We start from the raw sequence: 13,028 nt of genomic DNA on the forward strand, positions 1-13,028 counted from the left end.
TACCTTCTGAATGGTCCTGGCTGCAATTAAAAGCAGGATGATGCACTATTTTCCAGTTGAATAAACTGAGAGCCAAAAGTTCAGGAGTTCTGACTCTAGTTGTGTATCTGATTTGTCCTGGGAAGGGCACTTACACAGAGTCTCCCTTTCCCCCTGGAACATAAAGTCATTAAGTAACTGGCCTTGAAGGTTATTGTAAGCAGTGATGACATTGACAAGACAAGAAGTCTTGTCTTTGGGGAAAGGGAGCTTCATAGCATCTTACATGCCTCAGTGCTTTGACAGTGGGTGGTAAATAGAATAAGGAGAGTGACAAAATGGTAATGAAAAGGACATTCTGGTAAAAGACTAAATACTGCTGTCCAGTCTGTTAAAACTTCTTCTTGTTGCTATTATCTATAATTTTCAGGTCAATTATGCTAATGTCAACCCAGGGCCTCACTGAGTTAAGGAAAGAATACAGGAAGGTTTATATTGACATGATGTCAAGAGAAGAGTGGCATGGGGTATGGAAATGCCTCATCATGGCTCCATTTGGCTATAATAGCCTGATTTGGCACAAGCTTCTAATAAAGCCTGAAGGTTAATCATACTGCTGTGGAGCAGGACTGGAGTTTTGCTAGATCACAAATTTCAGGGAAAACTCAGTTTCACAAAATGTAAGGTTGATATGAAATTTTAAGAATTAAATTTTTCAGCCTTTCAAAGATTCTAGAAAGTCAGGCAATAGTATATCTTGAAGAGTGCCTTCTGTATGCCAGGTCTGGGTTAGGCTCCTTAAGTTTAATCACAGATTATTGTCAGGTCATAAAGCAAACTTGATAAGATTAAATAACTACTTTGCCTAAACTATAAGGTATTTAAATATATTTTAAAAGCCACTGATAGAAAAATAAGGAGAAATAATCAGAAATACAGTTCTGTTATATTTTTAAATATATTTCACTCATTCTTTGACAAATCAAACAAGTGAATATAAAAAGTAATATAGACAATTTTAATAATATGCAATTAATAATGTTGACTTATTGATACACATGTGTATAAAATATACAATCTGTGTACATTATACCAGAAACTTGCACCAAATCAGGCTATGTATTTTCTCTTTGTAAATACATTTCCCCCAGAATCCATGAACATTAAAAAAACTGATCACCTATTAGGTCACAAAAAAACACAGTAAATTCTCCAAAGCAGAAGTTATACAGACTATATATACAATAAAATTATTTATTAATAACAAAAGTATAAAATAAGACCTAACTGTATGAACATTAAAAATTCTCTTACATAATTATTTAATGAAAGAATTCAATAAGCTGACAATGGAAAGCATTACATATTAAAACATATGAGCTGCGGTCATAGAAGTACACAGATACAAATTCATATCATTAAATGCCTTGATTGTAAACCAAGAATAATATTCTGAGGCCCCTGCAACTGTCAGAAGCATGTGAACCAAAACAACTCCATATTGAAAATGAGGCTGGAACCTACTGGGCTGCATTCCCAGACGGTTCTGGCATCCTAAGTCACAGGATGAGATAGGAGGTCAGCACAAAATACAGGTCATAAAGACCTTGCTTATAAAACAGGTTGCAATAAGGGAACCAGTCAAAACCCACCAAAAACAAAATGGTGACGAGAGTGACCTCTGGTCATCCTCACTGCTACGCTCCCACCGGTGCCATGACAGTTTACAAATACGATGGCAATGTCAGGAAGTTACCCTATGTGCTCTAAAAAGGGGAGGCATGAATAATCTACCCCTTGTTTAGCATGTCATCAAGAAATAACCATAAAAATGGGCAACCAGCAGCCCTTGGAGCTGCTCTGTCTATGGAGTAGCCATTCTTTTATTCCTTTACTTTCTTAATAAACTTGATTTCACTGTGGACTCGCCCGAATTCTTTCTTGTGTGAGATCCAAGAACTGTCTCTTGAGGTCTGGATGGGGACCTCTTTCCTGTAACACAACAATTGAATGCTCTTCCTCCTCAGCCAGGGCTCTTAAAATTTAATCTGAGAGACTGTTTTAGGCCATGATGGGAAGTGGGGGTCGAACATGCCTCATTTTATCTTTCCGGCATTAATTTAACTTAACAACAACACAGACTTTTAAGTCCGATAAGAAACATTTTACAACCTATTCTCTCTGAAGCCTGCTACCTGGAGGCTTCATCTGCATGATAAAACTTTGTTCTTCACAATCTCTTATCTTAACCCAGACATTTCCTTTCTGTGGATCCCAAGTCTTTAGACAAAGACAACCAATTGTCAACCAGAAAATGCTTATATTTACCTATAGCCTGGAATCTCCCCACCCCCCCACTTGGAATGGTCCCACCTTTCTGGACCAAACCAATGTATTTCTTAAATGTAATTGATTGACATCTCATGCCTGCCTAAAATGTGTATAACAAAGCTGCACCCCAACCACCTTGGGCACATGTTCTCAGGACCTCCTGAGGGCTGTGTCACAGGCCGGGGTCACTCATATTTGTCTCAGAATTAATCTCTTCAAATACTTTACAGAGTTTGACTCTTTTCATTGAAATCATTAATAAACAAACAAAAAAGAATACAAATGACTTGAGGCCAGAATTTCCAAAACTGGTGTCCTGTATGACTCCATGCCACGAAATGTTAATGTTATGCCATAGAAAGTGTTCCTGGGGTAAAAATTATTTGAAAATGCTGTGTTAAAAAAGCTAAGATATTGAGAACTCCTCAATATCTGTAACATTATAATGAGCATTGTGAAGCTGTAAGAGGGAATATGATATTCAGTGTTTCCCAAACTATTTAATCAGAGAAATTTTTTTCATGTTATCTATATAAACATCTCAGAGCGATGCTCTTCCAAATGGTTTAGAAACTTAAGAAGCATCTTAAGTTTCTAAAGATGCTTCTTAAGTTGCACACTTAAGAACACCTGGGAAGAGTGTTCAAGAACACCTGGGAAGAGTTAAGAAGCATTGAAAAATAAAAATAAAAGTTAATAAATTTAAGCCACCAATTGTTCAAATTAATACATTTATAATATGGCTTCCTAAAACTAAAATAAGGCTACTGTTTATTTAGCCCTAATATAGAAAAATAATAAAAGTATTTGATAATAATGCAACAGAAATATCAATGAAACAGATGTTTTTTGAGTAAATTATAAACTGCTTAAATTGACTTAAAAAGAACATAAAAAGTCAAGAAGATTACTATTGCAATAGAATTAGAAAAAAATTCACCTTTAATGAAAGGTCATAAATTATATAATTAGTTATTTTAGAAAATCAATGATAATTCACTTATTAAATAAATGTTTCAATAAAAGAGAACATAATGAAAAGCTTATTAGTTCATTTTAAATATCTCCTGTAATATTTGTACCAAAACTAAAACAGGATTGCAGAAAATAAGGCCCTCAATAAACCAACAAAGTCATTTATTTTAGCAATATAGATTTAAAATTTCTAAATAAGTTACAGAATCTTTTAAGTGAACATATATAAAGATATATTTTTAATTTATATTGATTTAAATATTTATTCCATTTAAATGCTTATACATTGTTTGTTGAGGAAGCAATAATGCTTATAGAAGCATTGGTGAAATATACTAACATAATTCATTAACTCAATAATCAGAGACAAAAAGGATAAACTTGATAGATGCTGGAGTGGCATTTGAAAAGATTCAACATCAATTTCTGACCAGAAGCATTTAGTTATTTTAAAACAGAAGGATTCTTTCTTAACATGGCAAAGAATATTGTCTCAAGTTCGTGCAGGATTTTCTAATACACCAACTAAATATGTAAGTAAAAAACAAAAGAATTTGATACTTGGTATTTGCAAAATACTCACTGAAAGTTATCTTGTGAAAACAGAATTGTTGAATTTCTTGACAGTATTTTACAATGTATTACTGTTTCTGTTTGGGATTGCATCTTGGATGGCAGCATCATAATTTTACATACTTAAAGCCTCTATAACTCTTTATCTGGCTGTGCTCAAGCAATAGCCAACCTAATTCTTAATGGAGGTTGCTTAATGCCTAAACAATGATCATTGCTAGTAAAGTAAATAACAAAACAATGATGGCCCTCATTATTTGCGTTTTAATAAGTTTGCCAATGTAATAAGGCAAGAAAAATAAGTAAGGAATACAATTATGAAATCCAAGAAGGCAAGATTGTCATTTTATAAGACTATGGCTGTTGACCTTGATAACCCAAGAAACCAATAACAGAAAATTATTAGATATAGTAAAAGAGTTCATTAAGGTAATTGACTATAAAATAAATATGCCAAGTCATCCATTTTTCTATTTACCTGTGATTTTAAGTTGGACAACAAAATGGAAAAAAATCTCAATTATTATACAAACAAAATTAGAAATGATCTTGGTAAAAATCTACCCAGAAAGAAGAGCTTATATCAATAAAACTATATATTTCTCTCCTTAAACACATAAAACATTGAATAAATGAAAATATGCTTAATTTTAGATGAGAAGGCTCAAAATTTTATAGACTGTCAATTACAACAAATATTTGGTATATATTTCATGCTAATCCAATTGAAATATAGAGAATTCTTAGATGTATTAGGAAGAATAAATTCTGTAGGAGTTAAACATTTAAAATACAACAATCAAAATTTTGGGAAAATTAGGAGAGGTCATTTAAATAAGATAGGAAGTCTAATAAAACTATAAAGAAAGAATAAAATATTTTTACTACACAAAATTTTATTTTAATTTTTTTATTTTTATTTTTTATTTTTATTATACTTTAAGTTCTAGGGTACATGTGCACAACATGCAGGTTTGTTACATATGTATACATGTGTCATGTTGGTGTGCTGCACCCATTAACTCGTCATTTACATTAGGTATATCTCCTAATGCTGTCCCTCCCCCCTCCCCCAAACCCATGACAGGCCCCAGTGTGTGATGCTCCCCACCCTGTGTCCAAGTGTTCTCATTGTTCAATTCCCACCTATGAGTGAGAACATACACTGAGGACATATGGTTTTCTGTCCTTGTGATAGTTTGCTGAGAATGATGGTTTCCAGCTTCATCCATGTCCCTACAAAGGACATGAACTCATCCTTTTTTATGGATGCATAGTATTCCATGCTGTATATGTGCCACATTTTCTTAATCTAGTCTATCATTGATGGACATTTGGGTTGGTTCTAAGTCTTTGCTATTGTGAATAGTGCCACAATAAACATACATGTGTATGTGTCTTTATAGCAGCATGATTTAAAATCCTTTGGGTATATACCCAGTAATGGGATGGCTGGGTCTAATGGTATTTGTAGTTCTAGATCCTTGAGGAATCGCCACACTCTTCCACAATGGTTGAACTAGTTTACAGTCCCATCCATAGTGTAAAAGCATTCCTATTTCTCCACATCCTCTCCAGCACCTGTTGTTTCCTGACTTTTAAATGATCGCCATTCTAACTGGTGTGAGATGGTACCTTGTTGTGGTTTTGATTTGCATTTGTCTGATGGCCAGTGATGATGAGCATTTTTTCATGTGTCTGTTGGCTGCATAAATGTCTTCTTTTGAGAAGTGTCTGTTCATATCCTTTGCCCACTTTTTGATGGGGTTGTTTGTTTTTTTCTTGTAAATTTCTTTGAGTTCTTTGTGGATATTAGCCCTTTGTCAGATGAGTAGATTGCAAAATTTTTTTTCCCATTCTGTAGGCTGCCTGTTCACTGTGATGGTAGTTTCTTTTGCTGTGCAAAAGCTCTTTAGTTTAATTAGATCCCATTTGTCAATTTTGGCTTTTGTTGCAATTGCTTTTGGTGTTTTAGTCAAGAAGTCCTTGCCCATGCCTATGTCCTGAATGGTATTGCCTAGGTTTTCTTCTAGGGTTTTTATGGTTTTAGGTCTAACATTTAAGTCTTTAATCCATCTTGAATTAATTTTTGTAAAAGGTGTAAGGAAGGGATCCAGTTTCAGCTTTCTACATATGGCTAGCCAGTTTTCCCAGCACCATTTATTAAATAGGGAATCCTTTCCCCATTTCTTGTTTTTGTCAGGTTTGTCAAAGATCAGATGGTTGTAGATGTGTGGTATTATTTCCGGGGTTTCCATTCTGTTCCATTGATCCATATCTCTGTTTTGGTGCCAGTACCATGCTGTTATGGTTACTGTAGCCTTGTAGTATAGTTTGAAGTCAGGTAGCTTGATGCCTCCAGCTTTGTTCTTTTTGCTTAGGATTGTCTTGGCAATGCGGGCTCTTTTTTGGTTCCATATGAACTTTAAAGTACTTTTTTTCCAATTCTGTGAAGAAAGTCATTGGTAGCTTGATGGGAATGGCATTGAATCTATAAATTACCTTGGGCAGTATGGCCATTTTCACAATATTGATTCTTCCTGTCTATGAGCATGGAATGTTCTTCCATTTGTTTGTGCCCTCTTTTATTTCATTGAATAGTGGTTTGTAGTTCTCCTTGAAGAGGTCCCTCAAATCCCTTGTAAGTTGGATTCCTAGGTATTTTATTCTCTTTGAAGCAATTGTGAATGGGAGTTCACTCATGATTTGGCTCTCATACACCTATAGACAAACATGTCTGTTATTGGTGTATAGGAATGCATGTGATTTTTGCACATTGATTTTGTATCCTGAGACTTTGCTGAAGTTGCTTATCAGCTTAAGGAGATTTTGGGCTGAGACGATGGGGTTTTCTAAATATACAATCATGTCATCTGCAAACAGGGAAAATTTGACTTCCTCTTTTCTTAATCGAATACCCTTTATTTCTTTCTCTTGCCTGATTGTCCTGGCCAGAACTTCTAACACTGTGTTGAATAGGAGTGGTGAGAGAAGGCATCCCTGTCTTGTGCCAGTTTTCAAAGGGAATGCCTCCAGTTTCTGCCCATTCTCAGTATAATATTGGCTGTGGTTTTCTCATAAATAGCTCTTCTTATTTTGAGATATGTCCCATCTATACCTAGTTTATTGAGAGTCTTTAGCATGAAGGGCTGTTGAATTTTGTGAAAGGCCTTTTCTGCATCTATTGAGATAATCATGTGGTTTTTTTCTTTGGTTCTGTTTATATGATGGATTATTTTTATTGATTTGTGTATGTTGAACCAGCCTTGCATCCCAGAAATGAAGCCAACTTGATCGTGGTGGATAAGCTTTTTGATGTGCTGCTGGATTCGGTTTTCCAGTATTTTATTGAGGATTTTTGCATCGATGTTCATCAGGGATATTGGTCTAAAATTCTTTTTTTGTTGTGTGTCTGCCAGGTTTTGGTATCATGATGATGTTGGCCTCATAAAATGAATTAGGGAGGATTCCCTCTTTTTCTTTTTTTTTTATTATTATACTTTAAGTTTTAGGGTACATGTGCACAACGTGCAGGTTTGTTACATATGTATACATGTGCCATGTTGGTGTGCTGCACCCATCAGATTCCGTCTTTTTCTATTGATTGGAATAGTTTCAGAAGGAATGGTACCAGCTCCTCTTGTACCTTGCTAGAATTCAGCTGTGAATCCGTCTGGTCCTGGATGTTTTTTGGTTGGTAGGCTATTAATTATTGCCTCAATTTCAGAGCCTGTTATTGGTCTATTCAGGGATTCAACATCTTCCTGATTTAGTCTTGGGAGGGTGTATGTGTCCAGGAATTTATCCATGTCTTCTAGATTTTCTAGTTTATTTGGGTAGAGGTGTTAATAGTATTCTCTGATGGTAGTTTGCATTTCTGTGGGATTGGTGGTGATATCCCCTTTACCATTTTTTATTGTGTCTATTTGATTCTTCTCTTTTTCCTTCTTTATTAGTCTTATTAGTGGTCTATCAATTTTGTTGATATTTTCAAAAGACCAGCTCCTGGATTCATTGATTTTTTGAAGGGTTTTTTGTGTCTCTATTTCCTTCAGTTCTGCTCTGATCTTAGTTATTTCTTGCCTTCTGCTAGCTTTTGAAAGTGTTTGCTCTTGCTTCTCTAGATCTTTTAATTGTGATGTTAGGGTGTCAATTTTCGATCTTTCCTGCTTTCTTTTGCGGGCATTTAGTGCTATAAATTTCCCTCTACACACTGCTTTAAATGTGTCCCAGAGATTCTGGTATGTTGTGTCTTTGTTCTCATTGGTTTCAAAGAACATCTTTATCTCTGTCTTTATTTCGTTATGTACCCCGTAGTCATTCAGGAGCAGGTTGTTCAGTTTCCATGTAGTTGAGTGGTTTTGAATGAGTTTCTTAATCCTGAGTTCTAGTTTGATTGCACTGTGGTCTGAGAGACAGTTTGTTAAAATTTCTGTTCTTTTACATTTGCTGAGGAGTGCTTTACTTCCAACTATGTGGTCAGTTGTGGAATCAGTGTGATGTGGTGCTGAGAAGAATATATATTCTGTTGATTTGGGGTGGAGAGTTCTGTAGATGTCTATTAGGTCTGCTTGGTGCAGAGCTGACTTCAATTCCTGGATATCCTTGTTAACTTTCTGTCTCATTGATCTGTCTAATGTTGATAGTGGGGTGTTAAATCTCCCATTATTATTGTGTGGGAGTCTAAGTCTCTTTCTAGGTCTCTAAGGACTTGCTTTATGAATCTGGGTGCTCCTGTATTGGGTGCATATATGTTTAGGATAGTTAGCTCTTCTTGTTGAATTGATCCCTTTACCATTATGTAATGGCCTTCTTTGTCTCTTTTGATCTTTGCTGGTTTAAAATCTGTTTTATCAGAGACTAGGATTGCAACCCCTGCTTTTTTTTGTTTTCCATTTGCTTGGTAGATCTTCCTCCATCCCTTTATTTTGAGCATATGTGTGTCTCTGCACGTGAGATGGGTCTCCTGAATACAGCACACTGATGGGTCTTGACTCTTTATCCAATTTGCCAGTCTGTGTCTTTTAATAGGAGAATTTAGCCTATTTACATTTAAGGTTAATATGGTTATGTGTGAATTTGATCCTGTCATTATGATGTTAGCTGGTTATTTTGCTCGTTACTTGATGCAGTTTCTTCCTAGCATTGATGGTCTTTACAATTTGGCATGTTTTTGCAGTGGCTGGTATTGGTTGTTCCTTTCCATGTTTAGTGCTTCCCTCCTGAGCTCTTGTAAGGCAGGCCTTGTGGTGACAAAATCTCTTAGCATTTGCTTGTCTGTAAAGGATTTTATTTCTCCTTCACTTTTGAAGCTTAGTTTGGCTGGATATGAAATTCTGGGTTGAAAATACTTTTCTTTAAGAATGTTGAATATTGGCCCCCACTCTCTTCTGGCTTGTAGAGTTTCTGCTGAGAGATCAGCTGTTAGTCTGATAGGCTTCCCTTTGTGGGTAACCCAACCTTTCTCTCTGGCTGCCCTTAACATTTTTTCCTTCATTTCAACTTTGGTGGATCTGACAATTATGTGTCTTGGAGTTGCTCTTCTCGAGGAGTATCTTTGTGGCATTCTCTGTATTTCCTGAATTTGAATGTTGGCCTGCCTTGCTAGATTGGGGAAGTTCTCCTGGATAATATCCTGCAGAATGTTTTCCAGCTTGGTTCCATTCTCCCTGTCACTTTCAGGTACACCAATCATACATAGATTTGGTCTTTTCATATAGTGCCATATTTCTTCGAGGCTTTGTTCATTTCTTTTTACTCTTTTTTCCTCTAAACTTCTCTTCTTGCTTCATTTCATTCATCTGATCTTCGATCACTGATACCCTTTCTTCCACTTGATTAAATCGGCTACTGAAGCTTGTGCATGCGTCACATAGTTCTTGTGCCATGGTTTTCAGCTCCAACAGGTCATTTAAGGATTTCTCTACACTGTTTATTCTAGTTAGCCATTCGTCTAGTCTTTTTCCAAGGTTTTTAGCTTCTTTGCGATGGGTTCGAACATCTTCCTTTAGCTTGGAGAAATTTGTTATTACCAATCGTCTGAAGCCTTCTTCTCTCAACTCCTCAAAGTCATTCTCTGTCCAGCTTTGTTCCATTGTTGGCGAGGAGCTGTGTTCCTTTGAAGGAGAAGAGGTGCTCTGATTTTAGAATTTTCAGCTTTTCTTCTCTGGTTTCTCCCCATCTTTGTGGTTTTATCTACCTTTGGTCTTTGATGATGGTGATGTACAGATGGGGTTTTGGTGTGGATGTCCTTTCTGTTTGTTAGTTTTCCTTCTAACAGTCAGGACCCTCAGCTGCAGGTCTGTTGGAGTTTGCTGGAGATCCACTCGATACCTGTTTGCCTGGGTATCACCAGCGGAGGCTGCAGAACAGCAAATATTGCAGAACGGCAAATGTTGCTGTCTGATCCTTCTTCTGAAAGCTTCATCTCAGAGGGGTACCTGGCTGTGTGAGGTGTCAGTCGGCCCCTACTGGAAGGTGTCTCCCAGTTAGGCTACTTGGTGGTCAGGGACCCACTTGAGGAGGCAGTCTGTCCGTTCTCAGATCTTGAACTCTGTGCTGGGAGAAGCACTACTCTCTTCACAGCCGTCAGACAGGGACGTTTAAGTCTGCAGAAGTTTCTGCTGCCTTTTGTTCAGCTATGCTCTGCCCCCAGAGGTGGAGTCTACAGAAGCAGGCAGGCCTCATTGAGCTGCATTGGGCTCCACCCAGTTCAAGCTTCCCATCCACTTTGTTTACCTACTCAAGCCTCAGCAATGGTGGATGCCCCTCTCCCAGCCTTGCTGCCACCTTGCAGTTCAATTTCAGACTGCTGTGCTAGCAGTGAGCGAGGCTCCATGGGAGTGGGACCCTCAGAGCCAGGCACGGGATATAATCTCCTGGTGTGCCATTTGCTAAGGCCATTGGAAAAGTGCAGTATTAGGATGGGAGTGACCCGATTTTCCAGGTACTGTCTGTCATGTCTTCTCTTTGCCAGGAAAGGGAATTCCTCGACCCCTTGCGCTTCCTGTGTGAGGCGATGCCCTGTGCTGCTCTGTGGGCTGCACCCACTGTCCAACAAGCTCCAGTGAGATGAACCCAGTACCTCAGTTGGAAATGCAGAAATCACCTGTCTTCTGCATCGCTCACGCTGGGAGCTGTAGACTGGAGCTGTTCCTATTTGGCTATCTTCTACAAAAAATTTTTAAAGAATATTTTTAAGAAATATTTGCAAAAAACATTGATAAAGGAATTAATAATATCTATTATAAGCAAAGGGCTTATATGCATGTAAAAGAAAAAACATAACCAATTTATATAAATAGGTAAAAGTTATACATGGACAATTCATACAAAAAGAAACCCAAAATCCAAGTGATTTGAACAATACATATGTGTAAAGACAATCCATTTTAACTATGAAATACTAATTCTTATCCATTATATTAGTAAAATGTTTAAGGTGATAACATCCAGTGCATGTACAGAGTTCGGTGAAACAGTATTCTCATACACTTCTGGCATAAATATGAAGCAATCTGGTAATATCTGTTACCAGGTACTATTCTTCAACTCAAAAGTTCTATTCCTGTAAGGCTATGACATAAAAATAAAAGCTCTGATGCCTTAGAATATATGCTCAGAAAATCTCTTTCTGTAGAAGAGATTTTTGTAGAAGAAAAAATCAGCAAGTTGTCCCTCAATAGGAAAATAATTGAATATATTGTGTTATATCCATCCATGGGATTTTATGTAGCCATAAGAAAACATAATTTAAAGACAGGCTAAATTTCCATTATTCAGTCAGAAAGTTAAGATGCAGCAAAAAGTATATGGAATTATCCCACTTTTGTGGGAAAAGAATTGATTTTAAAAACCCCATGTATGAGAGTGTGGGTATATAGATTATTTGCAAATAACTGAATGAGAATGGAGACAGAGGTATAAGGGCATTTATAGGCTGCCAGTGGTAATGTTCAAGGTATGAGGAAATAAAAACAGGGAGGATGAGAAGCAGAATTTCCAAAGAGTCACTGGAAAAATAAATATGATTTAGGGAATATAAAATTCAATCTAGATTATTGGTTCACATTATAAAAACTAAATATATACATGAAGGTAACATGAATGGATTAAAATGTTGATTTGCTGGGCACTGTTATTTCAAAATATGTACTGATTTTTCTGCATAAAGGGAAAAATATTACTGAAAAAAGCCAGGAAAACTTTGAAATGACAAAAAGGAAAGGAAAATTGTTACAGCCTGTTGATTCAAATATGCTTGTGCTGGTTGGGCTTCTTCAGATTTTGGGTTATCGCAGCTGACAGGGAATTAAAGATAAGGCAGAGTAAAGAGAAAAAGGAAATGGATCTCTGAAGGTCTCATGGAAATCTCAGACATTGCTAATTGCTATTTAGGATAGAAAAGTGGCCTTGGCCCTCTGAGAAGAACCAGAACTCTAGGGTCTTCCCTGCTCATTTACATCTCTGCTTCTTTTTCTGTTTTAGAGGAAGACAACTGAGGTCTCCCTTTCAGTGGTAATGGGATCATGTCTAGAGTGTGAGTAAAAGCCAGAATAGGAACGAAATTCTCCACATAGAAGTAGAAACATACCCCACTGGCACTCCCAGGGATCAGCTGTTGTCATTCAAATCTTTTGGAGCAGTATCTCTTTCTGGATTCTCATTCCGTAAGGTAGCATAAAAGTTTTTGGGCTCAGAGGGAGTCCACCATGAGACTGCCCTCTTGGAAGAATCCTCTGAGTTGCCACACATAATACCATGGAAGTCAGGCTGTGCTTTGCATGTGGTCGTAAGGCATATTCTTTCACCTTGTTAGTAGGTCATGTGTTTTCATTTATTGCCCATATGATTCAGTCCTACAATAAGGACAGACATATGTTCCCAAATCAGCTAGGTCTGGAACTCTTGAGGGACTCTGCAGAAAGGCAGGGGTTGCTGGTCCCTGATGGCCATGTGGCTCTAGCATAAGATATTTTCTGCATTTGGGGAGAGGAAAGAGAGGGGTAATGGGTGTCTTTCTTTAGCCTAAATTTGGACCTAACTCATAAATGGATAACTTGAGAGATAGGCTGATAACGTGTCTTTATCACAACTGTTGCTCCTCTAAATTATTCTAGTAAAGTTTTCTCATAAGTAAAGTTTCTCATAAATAGCACCCAAATTTATCT

At 36.9% G+C, this 13,028-nt stretch overlaps 1 annotated feature.

The window, feature by feature from the left end:
• Positions 1,860-2,434: an enhancer, noted in NCBI's record as "NANOG hESC enhancer chr8:82108601-82109175 (GRCh37/hg19 assembly coordinates)". NCBI's record gives its function as "activates a minimal SCP1, AML or CMV promoter by ChIP-STARR-seq in primed H9 embryonic stem cells {active_cell/tissue: H9 hESC(primed)}" and the evidence as "EXISTENCE:reporter gene assay evidence [ECO:0000049][PMID:30033119]".

Source organism: Homo sapiens, chromosome 8 (genome assembly GCF_000001405.40).
Source record: "Homo sapiens chromosome 8, GRCh38.p14 Primary Assembly".
In the NCBI taxonomy this organism is placed as follows: Eukaryota; Metazoa; Chordata; class Mammalia; order Primates; family Hominidae; genus Homo; species Homo sapiens.